Genomic DNA, 23,035 nt, shown 5'->3' with positions numbered 1-23,035 from the left:
ATAATTTTAAAATTAAATTTTAAAAAAAGCAGGAAAGAGAAAGCACTGAAGGCAAAATACCTCCCACAGTATCTCTCTAAGGAGGAAAAAAAAAAGTTTCTGCTTATGTAAAAAGACGAATACAAGGGATCGCTGAAAAGTCTAAGGACCAAATAACAAGGAAAATAAAAGGGAAACACATGTAATGAAAAACACCTGAAGCAAATACATAAAAAGCTCCCTTTGCACCTCAAAGGCACTTCACAGCCACTAGCGCCTGTGGGCACTAACCCCTATGCCCATTTATTGCCCATTTTTCCCATTGCTTTCTCATTGCTGTTTCTTCCTCAGGCACTTCAGGATCCCCTTTCCCTTCTAAGCGGTCTACCCCACACCTGGCGGAAGGGCCACCGCAGCCACCTCGCCTACCACCAGCCCCCTACCACCAGCCCAGAGCCGAACCTCTGCAGCCCTGATAAAAAGTCCTTTCCCCAACTCCCACATCTCTCCAGGCCGTGCTCAGCCACTGGCCCTGGACCCTGCTCTTCCTCCCCAAATCCAGGCCCTGTGGCCAGTGGCAAGAGCACTCCTCTGGGGCTGGATGCCAGGCCCAGCCCAAGTGGGCAGCTCTCTCTTCTATCAAGGGCACAGGGTTGCCAAGACGGGCTCTCCAAGACTGCATTTTCTCTTCCTATTGCATATGGGGCTGGAAAGAAAGAACTGTTCAATTTAATTTAAAATATGACAAGGGATCTGAGCCCTCTGAGCAGGCGATCTCTAGAAATACTTGATTCTTTTTAGGGGAGAGGATGCAGAGTAGGCAGCGAAGCTGCTTCCCCACACCCGGGTTTGACTCTCCCACCAGCCCGCCGCCTGGGAAACGCGCCCTCGGCTGGCATCGGGGTACCAGAGCCCGGCTCCTTTCTTCCTTTCTTTCTTTTTTAAACGGCTCTAGCGCAAACCAGGCAGTGGGTCAGGGCCCAGAGGCGGGGGAGGGAAGAGGAGAGGGCTGTCTCCAACTCGGGGAGAAGAACGGCCGGCCGCAAGTTTCCCGGTTTGTGCCAGTTTGGGGATTTGCGAATCAGACCGGAGCGGAGGGAACGGCGGGTGAGAAAAAAAAAGCCCGCATTAAAAACTAACCAGCTCTGCCGAAAAGCGCGCTTTCCGCCCTTAAATAAGACAATGCTGAATGGAGAGGAGAGAGGAGAGACGAGTTATTTCTCACTCTTTAATTATTCCAATGCTTAGCATTATTTAAAAAGAAAACCACACACATTAGCCAATGATATATTCTAACCCTCAACAAAGCTGGTATTTTTCTCTGATTACAGACTTTGCCGTGGCAAACCCGGGCTCCGACGACAGAGGCAGCGCAGAAGCTCGCTCCTAAATGAGACAATTTTATTAAAATCATAATTCCTTGCATTTCTATAGCGCCTTTTCAGTGGCGGAGATCTCAGGTGCCCCACGCCAGGGTCTACTAGAGAATCGGGGCGACCGCAAGCTCAGTCGCGGGACAGGCGAGGCTCGCCAGCTCCACGAAGCGTCACCGGCACGTATTTTTCTTTTTTTAACAGCCTGTTTCTACCATTCAGCCTCTGTCTCACATGCTTTATAAAAAAAAAAGAAGTAATAAAACTCCTTTAAATTAAAAAAAATGTTTTTAGAGAAGAGGAAAAAGACTCGAAGAGTAAGGGGGGAAAAAAAAAGCTAAGTGTGGTCTGGGAGCTTGGGGCGGGGGGTGCTGCTGGGATGGGCCGCGTCTGGGTCCAGGGTACAGGGCGCAGCAGGGTCAGCCGCTGCCCCAGGGTCACCTCCCCGGGCGCAGCTGCAGCGGGCTGAGTCATCCGCACGTGGAAAAGGACCTAACACCATCAAAGCTCATTTAAGTAATTCGGGTGATGAGAAGTCGGGTTTATGACCGGCTTCCGAGGGGACTGGGGACGGGCGGCTTTCTCTGAATGCTCGGGGGCTGCTCTGGCTCCAGGGGTGGCTCGGGGGACTTCAGCCCGACGCCAGCTTCCTCCTCCACCAACAGGTTAAGTCGGGTCCGCTGGGCGCACACGTTCTTTTTTCACTTTTCCGTCCTCTCCCCTGGCCTGCCCAGGAAGTGCTGCAAAAGGGCTGGTAGCAACGGGTGGGGAGGCCTCGACGCCCCAAATTCAAGAAATCAGCCCTGAGAGGGAAGGTGGCGTAGATCGAAAGGGACTTGGAGGGGAGGTTTTGGGTTTTTAAAGGTTTTTTTTTTAGAGTCTGCGCAACTCCCCGCGGCCCGAAGGCAGAAGAGAGAGAAAGGGAAAGCGCATTTTCTGCCACTTAGTCACATTTCTTCCCCGCGCTCGCTGGAGGACAAAATCCCCCAAACCCAGCCAACCCTGGAAACAAAAATCTCCCCTGGTAAATTTCCCCGCCTTTACTCCCCCAAAAGAGAAGGCTCGGGGATTGAAGGTGAGGCTCCTCGGAAACCGGGGTAGTCTAGAGATGACGACGCTCACTATGCGACGCGGAGAGATCCTCTCCGAAGGGACGCCCCCAAGCTGTCCTCGGATTTGGGGGCAGTTAAACCCCAAACTCTCCCAAGCACCCAAAGAATCACAGCAATCATCAACATCGCATTCACGGCCAAAGCCCTCCAACGCGCATTATCCTCCGTCGGATGTCAGGATGGGCGCAGGAGGAGAGAAACTGAGGCACAGGCGGCCCTGAACCCCCAACCCCCGCGCGCCTGGGGGACAAACTAGCCTTAAGGCAAAAATGCCGACATCGGAGCCCCTTTTGGCGGCGGCCTTTGACGCAGCAAATGGTGAACTGGGACAGTCCTCCATGCCCACCAGCGCGGGGTCACTTTTTGGGGGGTGGGTCGGGGGGGTCACTGTGAGGGGCAGGCCGCGCCCCGGCAAGAGGGAGCCGCGCTTGAGCAGCGAGGGGCCGGGAGGACGCCACCCAGACCCACTAGAGGGCCTACGGTGCCTGGGAGGGATCATTGAGAAGACTCTGGCGGCACAAACGGTCGAAAGCCAGACCTATGCTCCCAGTTTCCCCTCACCTGCCCCCGGGGTCCGCGGTCCCCACTCTCCACTCAGCACCCATGGCGGTTCCGTCGTCGGAGCCAGCCTGGTACATGCCACACAGGTCGCGTCTGACATCCGGGGCCTCGAAGCGCCGCTTCCCGCCTTTTCGTCGCTGCGCACGCGCGCGCCAGGCTTTGCGCACGGCCCGCTCGTGTCCCGCGGCCCCTTCGCGCCCCGGTTCTGGGCCTCCTGCACGGTCCAGGCATGTGCTGTCCTCTCCCACCCCTCAGTGTGCGATGCAAGTGACAGTGACCGTCAGCACCCATTTTGCCCGCGACATGGAAAGCACACGACCTTCCCTCCTCCTGCCTGGGCCCTGGGGAGACCTCCCCACCACCTCTACCTCCATGAGCCCCCTCCCCCCAGTCTTGAGTCAGTTGCAGCGGGTCCAGGAAATGCCAGGCGCCTTGAGAACCTCCAGGGAGGCTACAATGAAAGGAGCCTGTGGGCGACGGGCACCTGTCGAGGGGCGCACTTGGCGGAGGGGCGGTCTCAGGTAGGGTACGTACAGGCACGCGACCTAATGCACAGAGGCACTGGGGAGGGAGTGTTCGTGCCAACATGGGGTGCAGCCCAGCTTCTCTCTTCCGGGGACCCGGAGGAGACGCTGGAGTACCATCTAACTTTCTCCAGCCGGGCTGGGATATCAAAGAGCTATGATTGGGCAGTGGAGCGTCTGGGGAGTCCCGGCACACCCCCCTGCCTCTGCTCCCACCCCTCCAAAACCCACCCACCCTCACTCCTGAAGTCCATGATGCGCGCAGGGAACTCGCCTCCACCGCCCGGGCGCACCTGGAGCGAAGGCCTGGAGGGCGGGTAGCGTGCGGCCCGAGCTGGACTCGGGGGCAAGTGGAAATTTCTCCCGAGGTGGGGTGGTGGGGGGCATTAAATGGCCTCTTTGTGGCGAATTGCAAGCCGTCACTCAGGGTTAATTTAAGCGGTAACAGCAAACACACACCAAAAAGCAACGTCTCGCCGCCAGCACCCACCCCCGCGATTGTGTTTCTGGGGCTGCGGGATTCGGAGCTGCAGTCCGGCCCTTGGGGGAGGGGGGGTCCCCGGTCTTTAAGAACGTGGGATGTCCGTCCGCAGTGGAGAGGGGGAGGGCTGCTCCCGCCTCCCCCTACATCCCTGCCTGGCGAAATGGTTTTTGCAGGTTTGGGTCGAAGCCTAGTGGGGGTGGTAAAATCCAAGTACAAACGTGGAGCGGGAAGAGGGGGGAGCGGTTCTTACATATAAAAAGTATATATAAAGGTACAAATTTCAAATATAAATATAGCACATGCAGGGGCGCCACTGGGCAGCGGCAGTTCTGGGATGTCCCACCTGTGCCCCAGGGACATATGGGGAGGCGGGTGTTCCGAGAGGGATGGGGGAGGTGGAATTAGGCCTCCCTTCCCTGCCGGCTCCCGCAACAACCTGAATGCCGCTTTGAAGCCAGATGCCCTGAGCGGCCTGGCAGGTGTGTGACTCATGTGAAACACGCGTGTGCAGGCTGGGGAGGTGTGTACCCGCGTGGGCCTGGAGCCATGTGTGTGGGCACCAGAGCGGGCTCACGGACCCACCTGGAGCTCCCCGTTGGGGCGCAGGGCTCGAGTACCTGTGCTCGAAAGCTCCATCGGAGGGAAAGCAGGGGAGTGAATGCTTGTGTTAGGGACCCCCATGTGGTGCCCGATAGGGGCATGTTATAGGTGTAAGTGCGCCAGCCAGTGTCGTTGGGATGTCAGGCCTAGGTGCGCATATAAGCTTTCGGTGCCTGAGATCCCGACTGGGGGCGCCGGGCAAGGGCATGCTGCGGACCCAGGTGGGAGCAACTATACGAGAGCGTGCTTATGTGCGTGCGCACGTCCGAGTTGCCGGGCTGGGGTGTCAGACAGGGACGTGCATGAGCGCGCCTAGGTCCCCTTCGGGGCCGCAGGGCCAGGGGGTGTGCGAGTGCTTGCGCACGCCTTGGGAGTAACCACGTGCGCGAGGGCCGCCGTCCGGACCCAGCTGAGCCCGGATCTGGCCCCTGAGCGGGCCATGGGGCAGGGCCGGCCGCCCGCCCGGCAGGCCAAGGCGGGATGTCGTTGGAGCCCTGTTGGTTTTGGCCGAGGCAACTCCAATGGGGGAAGCCCCAGGAGCAGGCGGGGGAGGAACAAAGAAGGGGAAAGCAAGGGAAAAGCGGGTTGCAGAGGAGGAAGCGCCCTGGACCTCGGAGGGCCCCTGGGGCGGTGGAGGCGGGGCCTGCCTGGGCCAGGGGGCTCCTGGAGGCCCCCCCGGGCCCAAGGTGGGCCACTCCACCTGTGTGGACAGGGTTAGGCTGTTGGTTTGAAGTCCTGAGACTTCTCTGCCTTTGAAGACCCCCGGCCCCGTTCTACCACCAAATCCCCCAAAGGACCACAAGCTGCCACCACTGCGGACCAACTCCAGCCGTCCACATGGCCACTCACACATCAGACACTCAAGCCTAGTGCTACTGTACTTGTAGTTGCCCCTCTGATAGCCCTCACTGCCCATCGGTTTTTCAGTGCCCATCAGTACCCCACTTGGAGCCAAGTAGCATTTGGTGGGGAGGGCGTGGCCCTGTTTTCCCAGCCAGGGGCAGACAGTTTGAACACCCTTAAGCGGGGAATCAGGAAGCCTCTTCCTCCTGTTTCTTGCTCTGGGCTTCTTAGAACTGGGGAATAGGAAGGGAATTCCCATGGGAAGGCCAGAAGGAGGAGCCTCAGGTGGCCAGAAGGGGGATGAAAAGCTGGAGTGAACCTGTTTAAGTCTTGCTCACTCCTGGGAATCTGGCTGGGTAATCCCCACCACCCTGCTTCTAGCCCCATGACCTTGGCACTTGACCTTGCGGCCTCTGTTTCCTCATCTGTAAAACAGGTTACTCATACCTGCCTCGTGTTGGGAGGGTCACAGGAGGTCACATATGCCCGCCTTCCCCCCACCCACCCGCTGCCCAGGCATAATTGCTCTGGAGTCGGTAGCTGTTATTTTTATTGTGAGGAATCTATGGCTGTGACAAGCTGTGACGCTTGGTGTGATCGCGTGAGGCTGGCTGTGTGTGCGACTGTGCCGCTGTGTGTGTGTGTGCGTGTGTGACAGGTTGTGTGTGAGACTGTGCGTGGACGACAGATTGTGCCGGTGTGCGGCGGTGCTTGTGACAGGCTGTCACTGCGCGACAGACTGCGGGTGGCGGGGTGTTGCGGGCGTTGACTGTGAGTGGGGATGAGGCAGTGTGTGGGACTGGGACTGGGAGACCCCCGCAAATCTACCTCGGTGAGGACCTGGCTACAGCGAGGATGGGGAGGCTCTCTGGAACTGCAGGAGGAACTCACTCCGGTTTCCTCTTGGGCCTTGGCTTTTCCATCGGATTCAGTGGGGCTCCACCTGTTTGCAAACCTTGGAGGTGATGGGTCTCAGAGGACCCTGTGACAGAGCCTCTCCTTCACCTACTGTGTCAGCTCAAGTACCCAGCCTCCAGCTTCTTGCTGGGGTTTGGAGGGGGGCCAAAGGAGGGTCATCAGGGGGCTCAGAGCATGGAGGACTGCAGGCCTGGCTGGCTTCAGTGAGGGATGCGTACCCTATGCCTGTTTCCCACGTTTTCCCTGAGCTCCAGGCCTGGGCAGGGCCAGCGGAGACCTGGAGAAAGAAGAAGAGGGATGTGGGGAAAGATCAAGAAAAGCTAGGAGAGAAAGAGAGGAACAAAGTGAGAAAATCACAGAGACGGGAAGATTGGAGCAAGCGAGTAACGTCAGCATGGGCTCCTCCCGGGACCCGGAGAACCCCAAGCTGCTTGGGGTCAGGGCCACCAATCAGGATGAAAACACACCAGGTTTATGGGGTCAGGACTGGCAGAAATGCCTGCCGACACTGGAGCATTGCTTGTATACCAGGCCCTGTGCTCAGAGCCCACTTTTAGGGACTCACCTTTAGGGATGCAGCCCTGCCAGGGGGATGAAAAAACCCAGGCTGGGCTGAAAAGTCCATAGTGTCCCTCTGTGGATGGGGAAACTGAGGCTGGGGGCCTCATCCCAGCACCCCCTCAAGCCCTGGAGTCATGAGAATACAGGACCCCAAGGATCGGAGCCGTACGTTTTTCCCAACATGGCGAAACCCCACCAGCTGGAAGAATCCCAGGACTCCATGGGCTGAGGGGTAGTGCCCTGTCACCCCCTCCTACCTCCTTAACTTGTCAACATGTGTGTTTGTTGTATGTATTATGTGTACCATGCTCCAAGGCTGTCCTGCAGCTGTACCTGGTGTTTAGGCCACAGGATGATGTCTGTGTCTCTGTAGGCACAGGCCTATGTGTGTCTGCTCTGTGTGTCTGTGTGTCCATTCAGGGCCAGCCCCTGCCACAGAGGGGGGAGTGGTATTGGAGCACCCCCCCACCGAAAGTGTGTCTTTGATACTTGCAGCCTCGGCAGCGAAAAACAAGTTTCCACAGGGCCGCCTTGGGTTGAGGCCAGGCCGTCCTCAAATAACATTTGAAGTTACTTAGCAAACTTTGTTTAGTGCCGAGAGAGGCGCGGGCAGCGGGTGTGGGGTGGGGGGGAGGGCATTAAACCGGTTCCTCCGAAGTCCCTTGCCCCATCTGGGGACACAAGTACCGAAGGCGAGGCTTGGTTCCCCCACTCCAGCTCTGGGGAGTGGAAGCAGGAATCTTGGAACCTTGGGGGGAACTTAGGGAAAGGGAGAGGTTGGGGCACACCACAGATGAAGCCTTGCCCTTGCCATGCCAGGGCCTGGGCTTGGGCAGAGATGCCCACCCTAGCCCCCTGGTGGCCCAGATGCCAATACCAGGTGCAGGGCAATCAGAAATGGGAGGGTCGTCACTTTTGCTGCAGTCCTGCTCTGCAAGCTTGAGGCAAATGAAGGGGTGGATGGAGCGAGCTGGCTTAGAACATGTGCCCCCCAACCCCAGAGATACACACGAGCACGCAGAAAGCCCCTGATGTCCACAGGCCCGGCCCCCACCCCCAAATTCCCATTTCCAGGTCCCAGCCCCAGGCGGCAGAGAAGGCCAGAGAGCCAACGATGGCGGCGGGTTTGGAAGTGAGGTTGGCGCCTATGGGGGGGGAGGGGGAAGAGATGCCAAAAATGGTGAGCCATTACAGGCAAGCAGGCGAGAGGGGGAGGAAGGGAGGGAGCGAACCGGGAAGATGGAAGCCAGGCGGGCATCCTTGCTGAGCTCCAGGCTGCAAAGGGGCAGCGGAAGAGGCAGCCCGGCCCTTCCAGGGAACAGGCATGGGGGATGATCCCCAGGTGGCACGGGACAAGCAGGGGCCTGGAGGCGCCCAGCACTTCCCCACCCCCACCTCAAGCTTCGAAATGGAGACTGGCAGCAGCAGCCGCTCGGCTCTGCCCGGGCATGGGGTGGGGGTGGCAGGCAGGCAGGGCGCCAAACCAAATGCCACCAGGCTGGGCACGGTGGTTGCCAGCCTGCAGTGCCGACCCCGCCGGGCCCCAGCCCAGAGCTCTCAAGCCTGGAGCTTTGGGGGTGGAGAGAATCTGGGGCCCTGGTGGGAGTTGGGGAACCCAACAGACAAAGCCTGATACCCCCAAGCTGTGGGCAGATCCCCAAGACCCTGCAAAGATGGCGCAGCCTGGTACTGCCAGGGTGACAGGCTGGGGTAAAAATAAACCCAGCCCGCCCCGGGGGAGCTAAATTGAGGGGCCCAGGTGGAAGTGCCACTCTGGGCCACCAGCTGCCCCTGCCCCATCCCCCAGCTCAGAGCAGCAGGGTTGCGAATACCCAGTGCCCATCAAGCCCCAGTTTCTGTAAAGGAAAGGCCTCGGCCATCTTGTCCCCAGATTTTGGGCGGGCACCGTATGGCATATCCACAAATATGGATAATAGATGAGCTCAGATTGAAGAAATGACAGGCAACATGGTCTGGGCAAATGATGGGCATGCCATGCTGAGCCACACACCCTTGACCTCCAGTCTGCCCCCTGGAGAGAGAAAGGGGCCTGGTGGGCTGCACTTGAGCTATAGCAAGGCAGCGTTCAAAATCATCATCTCACCATGAGGTCTCCGTGCCCACCTCTGCTAAAACCACAGCTGCCCAGCACTCCCGAGGGCCCGGCCAGCTCTGTTCTTCCCACAGCACCTAGCGCCATCTCAAGGACTGGACACTCCCTTGTTTATCAGATTCACAGTCTGCCCTCCCACCGGGGCTGGCATCTTTGCAGATTTTGCTCCCTGCCGAGCCCCCGGGGCCTAAAACAGAGCCTGGCACCCAGGAGGTGCTTGGTAAATATTTGTCGAAGGAATGCACAGGCTCCCGGCTGCACCCCCAGCATTTGAGCTCCGGCTGGGTGCCCAGCAAGGTGTGGGAGAGGATGTTTGGACCTGCGGGGGTGAGGGCAAGCCTGGCCAGCAGGGGTGCAGAGGGGGTGAGACCACCATCCACCTTTATTCTGAGCCTTGGATGGAAGAAGATCCAAAGGTCAGAGTGGTAAGAAAGGTTCAAGGGCCAACCACTAGGGCACGTTTCAAATGGGGGCGTGGGGGTGTGCAGACCCATTTTGAAATTTGGGAAAGGCCAGAGAACAAGCTGCAATTTTGTCCCATCGGCAGGATTTAGGGTGGTGACGATCTTGAAGAAAGAGCTCCCCGCCCTTGACCCTAGCACTGGATACCTCTACTGAGTCTTGGTTTTTCATCCATAAAATCAAAGCAGGTTTTCACATCAAGCACAGTTTTAAAGCGTGTGCTGTGAACCAACTCCTCAGATCCTTACCACAGCCCTGCTTCCTAGATACAGAAATTGAGACCCAGAGAGGTTAAGCAACTTGCCTGAAGTTACACAGCTAGTGAGTGGCAGAGCCAGGAGTCAAACCCAGGAAGCTGGCTCTGCAGGCCCCACTCTCCTAATAACAGTACCTGCTGAACACAGGATTCAAGAAGACAAGCTGGGAAGGCACTTAGCAAGGGTGCAACGCAGCAAGCACACAGTTCACATTAGCTGTTGCTACGATTTTTAGGACAAACATTTATTTTGCTATTATCCTATCTTCTTCTACCATTCTGCTGACCGCTGTCTCTTCTTTCTCTGGGGTCAGAACTGGGGAGTCAAAGGCCAAAGGATTAGTGAGACAGCCCCACGGAGGACAGGAGTCTCAGAACTTAGCTTTGTTGGCCAGGCACAGTGGCTCACGCCTGTAATCCCAGCACTTTGGGAGGCCGAGGCGGGCGGATCACTTGAGGCCAGGAGTTTGAGACCAGTCTGGCCAACATGGAGAAACCCTGTCTCTACTAAAAATACAAAAATTAGCCAGGTGTGATAGTGCACATCTGTAATCCCAGCTACTCGGGAGGCTGAGGCATGAGAATTGCTTGAGCCTGGGAGGCCAAGGTTGCAGTGAGCTGAGATTGCACCACTACACTCTAGCCTGGGCAACAGAGTGAGACTGTTTAAAAAAAAAAAAAAAAAGAACCTAGCTTTGTCCCCATCCCTTCTCTCGGTGGCTGCCAGGAGCAAGGAGGTGAGGGTGGAGCCCTCGACCACGGAGTCTAGAAGACTGCGAGTGTCCTGGGCAGGGATGGGCATGTGGTTTTTCCAGGCTTTGTCTCACCCCAGGCTTCTACAAACCAGGGCAGGGATTTGGGGCTCCCAATTCTATCCTGAGAAGCTGGGGTGGCTGTAGCTGCTGCGCAAAGACAGCTGGTTGTGGCTGACAAGCAGAGGGGAGGTGCCACCAGGGCAGGTCTCAGCTCTCAGGCACCATTTCCAACCACTGCCAGGTGTGGCCCAGGTGCGAATATGTGTGGGGGTGTGGCTCTCGTCCCTGTGTGCTGGGGTAACACTGGACTGTGTACATGGCACGCCGACTGTGCCTGGGTTTGGCAGGGGAAATGGGGTATATATGCGACAATGCCTGGGTCCTAGTGAGGGAGAGTGTGTGTGTGTGACACTGTCAGCTGGCGTCTTGTTTGGGTGTGACTGTGTATGTGGGTGCATGTGTAATGAGTGTCAAGGGTTAGCTGTGCCTGTGTGTGTTACTGTGTATCTGGGGATGCATGGCAGGGTTTCCAACCTTGGCACTACTGACATTTGGGGCTGGATCATTCTTTGTGGTCGGCGAGGGTTGAGGGGTTCCATTGTAGGGGACTGAGCAGCATCCTGGGTCTCCACTCACTAAATAGCACCCCCTCCACAAGTGTGACAACCAAAAATGATTCCAGGTTGGGCATGGTGGCTCATGGCTCCCAGCACCTTGGGAGGCCGAGGCGGGAGGATCACCTGAGCCCAGGAATTCAAAACCAGCCTGGGCAACAAAGCCAGACTTCATCTTTACTAAAAATTTAAAAATTAGCTGGGTATGGTGGTGCTCGGCTGTAGTCCCAGCTACTTGGGAGGGTGAAGCGGGAGAACTGCTTGAGCCCAGGAATTCAAGACCAGCCTGGGCAACATAACCAGACTCTGTCTCTACAAAAAAATTTAAAAATTAGCCAGGTGTGGTGGCATGCACCTGTATTCCCTGCTACTCAGGAGGCTGAGATGGGTAGATCGTTTGAGCTTGGGAGGTCAGGGCTGCAGTGAGCCGAGATCGCACCACTGTGCTCCAGCCTGGGCTACAGATGACAGTCTGTCTCTAAAAAAAAAAAATGTTTCCAGACATTTCCCAATGGGTGAAATCACTCCTGGTGGGTGACACTGGGTTAGGGAGTGTGTGGGGTGTTTTGTGTGTCTGAGAGCGTGTTATTGCATGCATGTGCATGTACCTGTGTGCTTGGTGGCATGTGCGGGTGTATCGGTGCTCATGTGTGTGTTTTGGGCACTGACATTATGACTGAGTGTGTGTGCTGTGTGTTTCTAGCTGTGCCTGTGGGGCTGCATTTGACGGTGGCAGAGCCTGTGTCTGTGCTGTGTGCTTCATGGCATGTGATCGTGTGACTGCGCGTGTCCCGTGTGTCTGCACCCACATGCACGTCCCTGAGTGTGTAATGCCGCATCGATGTGTTCGGGTGTGGCCGGGTGCCTCAAGGTGTCTGTGAGTGAGGGCAAGATTCTTTGTATGGGGACGCCTGTGTCTGTTTGATTGAGGGAGGTGCAGCATGCCAGTGTGTGTCAGCGTGATTCTTTGTGCCCGCATGTGCCAGTGAGAGTGTGTGACTTTGTGTGAGATGGACCCGGAATAAACCCCCCCCCAACTCCCCAAGATGATTCGACCGAAGCCGATATTTGGACGGAACCACCTGGATAATTTGGAACCCATCCCTAGCTCCTGCCTGCCTTGGACTAAAAGGCCCAGGGGGGTCGGGTGCACCTCCATGCTGTCCTTTCCTCCAGCTTGGCTCACACAGATTCAGGTGGGGACAGACAGATCCCCGCTCTTGCCCGATCTGTGCCAGGAAGGCTGGCACTGAGCTTCAGCTGAGGGGGCAGGGTCCTTGGCGATGGTGGTGGGCACTGCCCCCTGCCCACTGCTGGCCACCACCCCCGGCTCCCCTCAGGGTGGGGCCCAGTGGGGGGAGAGCTCCCCAGTGCAACCCCGGCTTCCGATTGGCTGCAGAGCGCCGCAGTGCCCGCTACCCGCCTCCCCTCCCTGGCTGGCGCAGCCACATCGGTAGTGGTGGCAAACGCAACTTGGAGTTCTGGGCACAGCTGCGCCTCACAGAGGCCTGCCAGCCCCACCAGAAGCCAGACACCCCAGCTCCGTGCCCCCGACCCCTCCCTGCCCGCCCGCCCCGCCGGGCAGCTCAGTCACCCTGCCCATTGCCTCCCTCTGGCTGCCAGGCCCTGTCCACCCTGTTCCCTCACCCGCCAGGCCTGTGCCCCCCTGGCCAAGCCCACTCAGGGGGCCCAGGCCCCTGCACGAGGCCACTCCCGCCCTCAGAGGGGCTCCTCGGGAGGGGGGAGGTGGTGAGGAAGGGGGGGTTGGGGAGCTAGCCCTTCTTCCTTTAGTGAACGCGCCCAGAGCTGGAGCCAAAAATCGAGGAGGAGAGATATTCAGACGGAGCCAAGACGCGTTTGGCAGGAGGAGAGAGAGAGGGAGAGAGGGAGCGGGAGGAGGGGAGGAGGGGAGGAGAGAGGGAGGAAAGAGAGAGAGAGAAAGGGGGAAAGAAGGGGGGACCTCAGTTTCCAAATCCGCGCCCTCAGAGCCTCGGAGGGATGGCGGGTGGCCCAGGGGTGTGGGGCCCAGGGCCTGCCTGGCTGTGGGGGCAGCGGGGATAGTGGGCTCAGGCCCACGGAGACAGCCGGACACCCAGCTGGCCAGGCTAGAACGGACACAGGCAGAAGCCAAGATCAATGTGCGCCGGGCAGACAGAGGGAGGCCTGTGGGCGGCCCGAACACACGCCCGCACCTCGCTGCCGCACAACGGGCTTCTGTCCACGCCAGGCCAGGGGCACGGGCGGGGCCCCCAGCAAGGCCACTGCGGCCGCTCAACCTCATGGGAAGGGACTGAGCAGCCAGCCCGCTCCCAGCCGCTTGCCCGGCCGCCATAGCAGGCATCTCACATGGTGCTCGGAGGCCAAGGGAATGCCCAGGAGAGGCGCCCGTGGGGTGAGACCCACAGTGATTGTCACGGGGACAAGCTCAGGAGGCACAGTGATATGAGGGTGATGACACTGGAGACACGTGCGTTGACACGTATGTGGACACAAGTTGACACGGACAGGCCAACACGTGTGTGAGACACACGGATACACTCTTTGCCGTGACGCACAGACACCCAGAAAAACACTGCTGTAGATGTGACGCATGTCGCTGGGACACTGTCACCCCAGATACAAAGCGCAGATACAAAGATGGTGACCGGTACACCAATACCCGTTGACGTGCGCAGCGCCACCGTGACACAGAGACTACATCCGGCACACTGACACGCATGGTGGCACGCTCCCCGACCCCCACTACCAAATACACAAGAGACAGGGCGTGCGATGATCCGTGGAGTCACATGCAGGTAGCACCCAGTGATGGACGCTGGGAGACATGGAGAGGCATGGAGAGGGACCCGGGCAGACACACGCTGCCACACAGACATCCTCGGGAAAATGGTGGCTCTGAGGCCTGACATGCCGATTAACATGCACACCGATCTGGGAGAACCCAGATAGTGGCTCACAGCTGTCCTCCTGGCCCACTTGCCCCCACATCCAGGGCTTTGGGGGCAAGAAAATTAAGACACCCCCCTCCTTTTCCCCACCCCAGCTGGGAGGGAGGGGACAGAAGGCCCATTCTCAGCACCGTGTTGGAGAAAGTGCCCAGCCTCCCCTACCTCTCTGGTCCAGCAAGTCCCCAGATTCCAGCTTCATGGGGGTGGGGGAGACAATATCTCAGCAGATTTAAAAGGCCAGGCTCCCTGTGGGTTAGATGGGGAGGACGGCAGTCAACACACCAACCACGGGGGCATTTTGCCCACAGCCACGGCGCCACGGCCAAACACCCAGCATTGCTCCCACCCGCAATGTGCCCTGATCCAGCCAAGTGCCCACCATAGGGTCCTGCACATATGTCCTGTCTCCATGGCGGGTCCAGGTGACAACGCCCAGGTGCAGACACAGAAAGTTCTGGAGCTTGGGGACGTCCCTGAAGTCATCATCTAGATGCACCGGGTCTCTTTGTCCCACATACATTTGGATGAATGCGTGCACACATACTCTTATACCAGGACTCAGGGCCCCCAACCAGGGTATCTGGTCCTCATGGAACAGTGGAGGCCTCGTCTCTCCCCTCCTGCCCCCCACTCTCCCCCACCATCTCTCCCCTATCTTGAAGTTGTGCCACCCTCTGCTTGGCCTACAGGCCCCCATCCAAAGGTAAAAGAGCTGGGCCATGTGCAAACTCTCATCCTTCCAAACTCTCCTCTTGCCTCCTCCTCCTCCAGGCAGTCCACTTGGATATCTATGGTTGGGAGGTGCTCGATCCTGTCTTCTACCCCTCAGAGGCATCCCTCTCTCAGCTGGGAGGGTCTGGGAGGTTGACAACCAACAATTGGCAACAATTACCATTTATGGAGCACACACTATGTGCCAGGCACCACATTGAACCTAAGTACAGCCCAAGAGATAGACACTGGTTTTTGCCCATTTTACAGGCCAGGAAAATCCTGTGCTTCAGGTCGCAAGATTAGAACATGTAGAGCTGGAGCTCGAACCCATTTCTGTCTGACGGCAAAGCCTAGCCCTTGACTCCGCTCCCGCAGCCTCCGTCTGGGAGCTCTTGAGGCTACACAAGACATTCCAGGCCCTAGAGAGACTGGAGCACCCTGTTCCCGGCAGAGCCCTCGGCTCTGAGCTCGGCCCAGCATCAAAACATCTCACGGAGCCCCAGCTCATCTCATGAGCTACCCCATCCCGGCCCACACCTGGGCACACCTCCCACCCCAGCAGTGGGCATGAATCAGGCAGGGCCAGAGCCGGAGAGAAAATGCCAAGTGCCATGAAAACAGGGCACCAGGCCGGAGCAGGGACAGAGAGCTATAGCTTCGCAGGGACAGAGGGGTGGCCAGAGTGACCCAGAGAGAAAGCTGGGGGAAGGGGGCATCAGGGAAGCCCCAGCCATCCCCCTCCCATGGAAGGAGTGTTGGGGGAGCTATGCAGATACAGAAGTACAGGAACGTTCGGCTGCTTGTATGGCCAGGAAAATGGGCGTAGGTCGCTGCGTGTCTGAGAGCGGGTGTATCCGTGTGTGCGGCCATGTATGTCTTTGTGTGTGTCAGCAAATGTCGGCATGTTTGCCTTTTTATCCCTGTGGCAAGGAGGGGGAAGCACGCATTGGTGCATATTTGTGTGTGTGTGTGTGTGTGTGTGTGTGTTTGAAAAGGTATTTGTGGCCGGGTGCAGTGGCTCATGCCTGTAATCCCAGCACTTTGGGAGGCCGAGGCAGGTGGATCACGAGGTCAGAAGTTCAAGACCAGCCGGGCCAAGATGGTGAAACCCCATCTTCACTAAAAAATACAGAAATTACCCGGGCGTGGTGGCGGGCACCTGTAATCCCAGCTACTCGGGAAGCTGAGGCAGAGAATTGCTTGAACCCGGGAGGCAGAGGTTACAGTGAGCCGAGATCACGCCACTGCACTCCAACCTGGGCGACAGAGCAAGGCTCCGTCTCAAAAAAAAAAAAAATAGAAAAAGAAAAGTTATTTGTGTACACACCTGAGCGAGCCAACTGCATTATGTCTCTGTGTAAAGATGTGTATCCATCCATCCGCCTGTCCGTCCTTGGGTCCATGTGAGCATGTGTGGGGGTGAACACACATTTGTGTCTACCTGTATCCAAGCATGTGCTCAGGGCTCCATGAGTCTGGGAGGTGTCGTGGTCTCCATGTGCCTTCGTCGCTATCTGTATCATCTCGAGGGGTTTGTGAGTGTTTATGTGTGCGCTGGGGGTGGTTGTGAACACAAGTCCACAGTTTCCTGTGTCCATACGTGCGTCAAAGAGGTACTGCTGTGTCGCTAAGCCTACACCAATATACGTGTCCCATTTCAAGAGGTGCGTGTGTGTTAATGGGTGTGTGTGACAGTGTGAACACAAGTCGTCGGTTTCCTGTGTCCGTAGGTCTGTAGGCTCGTCGATGGTCGTGGGTCTGGACATCGGTGTGAACAGGACACTTACATCCCCATCTTGGCGGTGATGGTGGTGTACGTGAGTTCACATCCTGGTTGTGTCTCTGTTTCTTGGCAGGGTTGGGATGGGGATGGGGGTCCATCCATCCACCCCCCACCCCTCTCTCCGCCTGAGACTCAGGACTGTGGCTACAATGGACTCCAGCAGCTCCAGGAACCGCCCCACCCGGCCGCCCTGAATTTCGATGCTTTTTCTAGAAGGAGATTTTTCCCCCCGCCCTTCCCCCTCGCCCACAGTACCTTTCCCCGCCAGGGCCCCGCTGCTCCAAGCTCGTTCCTGCTCAATCATTTATTGACTTTAAAATCGAAGCCAATTCTGGTTTGAAAAAAAGAAAAGGGAGAGAGAGAGAGGGAAAGAGAGAGAGGCAGGCCAGAGAGACAGAGAGAGAGAGAGTCCGAGACGCCAGTGGAGGGGGGAGCAGAGATGGGGCCAAAACTGGAATCAGAGACAGAGACAGTCAGAGACATACAAAAGGACAGAGATGGAGAAAGAGAGATGGAAAAGGGCAGAATACACCAGAGACCGATAAAAACAGACCGAGAAAAAGACAGCAAAGGAAAGAGGTTGTCATAAAAACAGAGACCAGCGGGGCAAACCATGGAAGCAGAAAGATTTGTAAAAACAGAGATGTGATTGTTAGGGAGGGGCAGGCCAGACCCCACTGACCAGCCGACAGCAGCCACCTGCCCAGAGCTGAAGGGTTTCCCTGCCCACCATGAAGGGCTGGCAGCCTGGAGACACCATGCCCACTCCCCTCTCCAGCCATCCTGGCACACTGGAACTGTCGTAACCTGGGCCTACAATCACACAGAGCCAAGCACCGGCCATCGCCCTGGGTCTCGCAGCCGCCCCAGCCCCTTCCTAGCCATGTCACCGGCGTATCCACAGGCATTTTCTCTCCCAGGGTGCTGTGAAATCTGAGGGGCTGGTGTCTCACCCAAGCCATGGGGGAGCAGGCTCAGATGTCTGGCGTGCTTGGCATGGGAGGCCGGGCTGGCAGCCTGGTGGGCAAGGGGCTGCTTGAGCGTGGGGTCTTGGTTCCACTAGGCCCCAAACATCGGCCACACAGCCCAGCCAAGTGTAGCACCAAAGAGGCCCAGCTCAGACACCGCTGGGTAGGCAGTTGTTGTGAGGGGCGCCCAACATGGAGTGGCCGTGGAACTGGAGGTGCAGATGTGGGGGTTCCCCACACTGCCATGGTGCTCAGGGTGCCTGCTCACACCTGCATGCACACTGCAACATGTATGCATGCCGGTGCGCCCTCGCCAACACGTACTTGGGCCTGCTTTCTACAGGAAAACCCGCTCCCTGGGCCACACACACGGCCATGCCACGCAGGCCTGCCCATGGCCGGCCCACAGGGGCTACACACAGACTCTAGATTGATTCACACTTGCATACACTCTCACCTGTGCATACAGGAGTGTGGTGTAGCCACAGCTGACACACACCCCGACAAACCCCTCGCCCCTTGACACCACTGCACACTCCCGGTAGGACCCAGACAAAGTAGGAGCCATACCCATGTGGACTGCCACTGTAAGCTGTGGACACACTTGGCACATGGCTGACAAGGATCAGGCTGGGCAGAGGGGACAATTAGGGCCTGGCCTAGAGAACCCCCACATGCAGGCCTGGCTGGCAGCAGGGCTAAGCAGCCCCTAGATGTCCCCTCTTCGGAGACTGTTACCAGCTGTGGCTTGGCCCTGCAGGCAACGCTGTCAGGGCCACTGTGGGACTCTGGGCAGCTTCTGTGCCCTCTTAGAGCCTCAGGCCACAGCCCAGGGAGAGTTGGGTGGCCCGACAGGCATCCTCGAAGCTTTTGCCGCAGCCGTGCGCCGCGCAGGGAACTTCGCTGCAGGCGGGACGCGCTCTAGCAACGCGCCAAGGTCGGCGCTGTTGTGCCCGAGGCTGACCCGACGGTGTGGCCGCAGCACTGTCGGCTGTGTCCACGGCTGCCTCCCGCCCCTCCCGCCTCCAGGCGACGGGACGGGATTCCCCAGGCCTGCCGGGTCCACTCCGCAGCAGCCCGGGTCGCTGGGGCCAGAAAGTTTGCGCCGAGGAAAGTTTGGGGGTGGGGGGGCAGAGGCTGCGACGTCCGGGGTCGGAGAGGCGCGGCCACCGCTGGCAGCGCGCCCGCCCCCCTCTCCCCTCCCCTGCCCCTCCGAAATTTGGGAGCCCCGCCATTTTCTTAGCCCCGCTCCCATGTGAGGCCTAAACAAAGACTTTGGGGAGACGCCCGGGCCGCTCGGCCCACCCCAGGCACCCCGGCCGCACGCAAGGGCCGCCGCCACGCACGCCGGCCACTGCCACCCTCGGGAACCGCTGCGCCCTCCCCAGGAAGCGTCGCGGGACCCAGTGTCCCCTCTGCGCCCTCGGGACCACCCTCTTGCCACTCTGTCAACCCCGCAAACACTGCCAGCGACCACGCTGCCCGGGTGCGCGCTACAGTAGCCCACAGGTCAGCCGGAGTCCCGCTGCCCATCGCACCCCAGTCGAGCGCGCACACACACACACACACACACACACACACGTACACGCACTCCCGCCTGCGCTCCACGGGCAGCGCCACGACGCAGCTGGCCACCCCCGGAACCCCCAAAAGGAGTCCGCCCGGTGGCCAGGGTCGCACGCGCACGGTGACGCCCGCACGCGTGCCTGGGCTCCCCGCGGCACAGCCTGCACCCCTCGGCGGCCCGCGGGCTCTCGGCCCCCCCTTCCCGGCCGCCGCGCGTCCCCTCCGCCCGCGCCGCCGGCCGGCCTCCCGCGCCCGCTCCCCTCCCCCGGTCGCGCGGGGGCGGCGGCCGGTACCTGGGTGAGGCAGTACGGGGAGTACATAGCTGGGCGCCCGGGCGGGAGCGCGGCGGCCGGCCGCGGCGAGGGGAGGCCCGGCAGGCGGCGGCCGCGCTCGGGCTCGGGCTCCGGCTCGGCTCCTCCGGCCTCCGCCGCGCTGCGCCCGCCCGGCCCGCGGCCCCGCGCTCGGCCCGGCGCCGCTCCGCGCTCGCCGCTCGCAAGCTCGGCCCCGCCGGCTCCGGGGCCGCCGCTGCCGCCGCCGCCGCCGCGCTCGCCGCTGCCTCTCGCGTCCGCCGCCGCCGCCGCTGCCGCCGCGCGTCTACTCCATGCCGCCGCCGCTCGGCCGGTCACCCTCGCCCGCCGCCGCCGCCGCCGCAGCCGCCGCGCTGTGAAAGTGAAAGTTTAGACAAAGTTTGGAAGCGGCGCACTCCGGGGAGAGGGAGCGGGCGGGCGGCGCGGGCGGGAGGAGGGGCGCGGGGAGGGGCGGGCAGGGCGGGGGAGCGGCGGCCGGCGCACACACACAAGCACACACATGCACACACACACACGAACACACGCACACGCGCGCGCGGGGGCGCACACCGACGCGGCCGCCCTGACACGTGCTGGCCCGCGTTCCAGCGCAGACACACGCTGACACGCAGCGGGACTCGGACCCCGCCACACATGTCACGTCCAGAACGCCTGGCCACACGTTCCGCCTTCGAACACAAAGCACACTCGGACACCAGTGCACACAAGGCACAGACACACAACCCCTACACACGGGCACACACACACAGCAGTCTGGGAAAACACCCACGACCCACGCTCTGACATGCACCGTCCCACCATGGTATCCAGGCACACAACAAGGAACCGCGTATAGACATACACCAAAGCAGGCGTCACGTAGACACACACTGATATACACGAAGACACACCAGTGCATGACACATAGAGATGCACACTGATGCACACACACTGACGCATGTTCCTGCAGAACACAGACACATGCAAGATCACACAGCCACACGCTGACACCTTCCAGACACACAATTCCTACACGCAGACACATACACAACACACACACATCGCAGTGCCAGAACACACTGGCAGTTGTGGCAGTACACCCCGATGTACAGAATGACACTGATGATTGAGAGGCCGAGGCCAGTGGATTGCTTGAGCTCAGGAGTTCAAGACCAGCCTGGACAACATGGCAAAACCCCTCTCTACCAAAAATACAAAAATTAGCTGGGTGTGGTGGTGGATGCCTGTGGTCCCAGCTACTTAGGAGGCTGAAGTGGGGGGATCCCTTGAGCCCGGGGAGGTCAAGGGTGCAGTGAGCCATGATAGTGCCATTGCACTCCAACCTGGGTGACAGAGCAAGACCCTGTCTGAAAAAAAATAACTAAATAAATAAGATGACACTAATGAAGGGAAGATACACAATGTCACATAAACACACACCAAACACCTGGAAGTGAATGCAAAGGACCCCAATACAAAGAGATACACAGCGTCACAGATACAAAGCAACACTGGCTGTCACAACACAACACACAGACACACACACACACACACACACTGGGTTGCCCAGATGTACCCACAGGCCTTGGACACACTGACCAACTGATGCCCAGGCGGCTGACAACCCCCCTGGGAGAATCATCTAGCCATGCACACAGGGATCACACACATACACCCATGTCCCTTACGTGCCCCCCCCCCAACACACTTGTAATGTGGCCCTGATCATCGACATAGGCAAATATAGCAGGAGACCCACAGCTCAGCTGTCAGGGACAGAATTGGGCATCAGGGCCTCCGTACATGTACACACACACACACACACTTTGGTGAGGTTCCAGCCCCTCTTGCGGGCCCTGACTCCTCATTTTCAGAACATAAAGGCCTGGGGGGAGAGGTAGTGCTGGGGACCCTGGAGCAAGGGGAGAGGAAGCCCTCTGGTAACCCTCAGGGTGGGTGGGGAGGCAGTGCCTACAGCCCCCAGGCAGCTCCTGCTGAGACAAAACACCCGCCTGCTGCCAGGTGCAACCAGCACCTTCTTGCTCTCTTGGGCCAAAAAGCTGTGGCAATTCTCAGCTATGCATTGTCTGTTAAAGGGGGTGTCAGTGCCCAGGGCGGGGGGTGCGCACGCACACAGGGTTGGCTGTGCCCATTGGGCTCTTGCAAGCAGGCACAAAAGTATGCATGTGTACGTGAGTATGTGTGTAAATGTCCCAGAAACGATATGCTCCTTGTCACAATACTGTATTAGGCTGTGTGGCAGGCAGTGTGTCTGTGGGTGTCTAGATGGGTCTGGTGTCTTCCGGGGACACTGAAGAAATGCAGGTCATGATAGGTGCAAGAGTCTGGCTGGGCGTGGTGGCTCATACCTATAATCCCAGCAATTTGGGAGGCCGAAGCGGGTGGATCACCTGAGGTCAGGAGTTTGAGACCAGCCTGGCCAATATGGTGAAACCCTGTCTCTACTAAAAATAAAAAACTTAGCTGGGCGTGGTGGGATGCCTGTAATCCCAGCTACTAGGGAGGCTGAGGCAGGAGAATCGCTTGAACCTGGGAGGCAGAGGCTGCAGTAAGCCAAGACCATACCACTGCACTCCAGCCTGGGGAACAGAGCAAGACTCTGTCTCAAAACGAAAGAGAGAGAAAGGGAGAGCTCACGCCTGTAATCCCAGCACTTTGGGAGGCCAAGGCAGGCAGATCATGAGGTCAAGAGATCGAGACCATCATGGCCAACATGGTGAAACCCCGTCTCTACTAAAAATACAAAAATTAGCTGGGTGTGGTGGCGTGTACCTGTAGTCCCAGCTACTCGGGAGGCTGAGGCCGGAGATCACTTGAACTCAGGAGGCGGAAGTTGCAGCGAGCTGAGATCGCGCCACTGCACTCCTGCCTGGTGACAGAACGACACTCCATCTATAAATAAATAAATAAATAAATAAATAAATAAATAAATAATAAAAATTTTAAAAAACAAAGCAAGAATCTTTTTGTGTGGATCTGTATGTTGTGCAGCAGAGACTGGGTCTGACTTTGTACTTAAGGTGTCATGAGGCAGAGAAGGTGCCTGCCCGGTCCTATACCAAGCACTGGGGACATGGTGGGGGAAGAAAATAAAGACCATGGCCAGGCGTGGTGGCTCATGCCTATAATCCCAGCACCTTGGGAGGCCGAGGCAGGCAGATCACCTGAGGTCAGGAGCTCGAGACCAGACTCACCAACATGGTGAAACCCCATCTCTACTAAAAATATAAAATTTAGCCGGGCATGGTAGCAGGCGCCTATAATCCCAGCTACTCAGGAGGCTGAGGCAGAATTGCTTGAACCTAGGAGGCAGAGGTTGCGGTGAGCCGAGATCGAACCACTGCACTCCAGACTGAGCAACAGAGCAAGGCTCTATCTCAAAAAAAAGAAAAGAAAAAAAGAAAAAGAGAGAGAGAGAGAAAGAAACAAAGGAAAGAAAGAAAGAAGGAAGAGGAGGGAAGGAAAGGAAGGAAGGAAGAAAGGAAAGAAAGAAAGAAAAGAAAAAGAAAAAGAGAAAGGAAGAAAGAAAGAAAAGAAAAAGAAAGAAAAAGAAAAGCAAGCAAGCAAGCAAGCAAACACCAGCCGGGCACGGT

General features: G+C 58.3%; 1 protein-coding gene and 1 long non-coding RNA gene across 4 annotated transcripts in view, besides 3 other annotated features; one reads left to right on the top strand and one right to left on the bottom strand.

Moving 5' to 3' along the window:
- The window catches only part of NFIX (nuclear factor I X), a 103,322-nt gene extending 83,505 nt beyond the window's left edge, over positions 1–19,817 (bottom strand). For all 3 annotated transcript variants that reach the window (NM_001365902.3, NM_002501.4, NM_001365982.2), the window contains exon 1: positions 19,428–19,817. In NM_001365902.3, the coding sequence (NP_001352831.1) occupies positions 19,428–19,454 (27 nt within the window). In that variant the 5' untranslated portion in view covers positions 19,455–19,817. The remainder of the gene's footprint in view (positions 1–19,427) is intronic.
- Positions 139–1,404, top strand: NFIX-AS1 (NFIX antisense RNA 1). Its single transcript, XR_001753870.2, has 2 exons — positions 139–1,086; positions 1,311–1,404. It is a non-coding gene; the product is annotated as an NFIX antisense RNA 1 (long non-coding RNA).
- Positions 3,980–4,523: an enhancer, noted in NCBI's record as "H3K4me1 hESC enhancer chr19:13121583-13122126 (GRCh37/hg19 assembly coordinates)". NCBI's record gives its function as "activates a minimal SCP1, AML or CMV promoter by ChIP-STARR-seq in primed H9 embryonic stem cells {active_cell/tissue: H9 hESC(primed)}" and the evidence as "EXISTENCE:reporter gene assay evidence [ECO:0000049][PMID:30033119]".
- Positions 18,948–19,536: an enhancer, noted in NCBI's record as "H3K27ac-H3K4me1 hESC enhancer chr19:13106570-13107158 (GRCh37/hg19 assembly coordinates)". NCBI's record gives its function as "activates a minimal SCP1, AML or CMV promoter by ChIP-STARR-seq in naive H9 embryonic stem cells {active_cell/tissue: H9 hESC(naive)}" and the evidence as "EXISTENCE:reporter gene assay evidence [ECO:0000049][PMID:30033119]".
- Positions 19,711–19,870: a silencer, noted in NCBI's record as "silent region_10188". NCBI's record gives its function as "represses an Ori minimal core promoter by ATAC-STARR-seq in GM12878 lymphoblastoid cells {active_cell/tissue: GM12878}" and the evidence as "EXISTENCE:reporter gene assay evidence [ECO:0000049][PMID:35858748]".

The sequence above is a fragment of the Homo sapiens genome, chromosome 19, assembly GCF_000001405.40.
Source record: "Homo sapiens chromosome 19, GRCh38.p14 Primary Assembly".
Taxonomy (NCBI): domain Eukaryota; kingdom Metazoa; phylum Chordata; class Mammalia; order Primates; family Hominidae; genus Homo; species Homo sapiens.
This window is presented reverse-complemented; position numbering and strand designations above follow the sequence as displayed.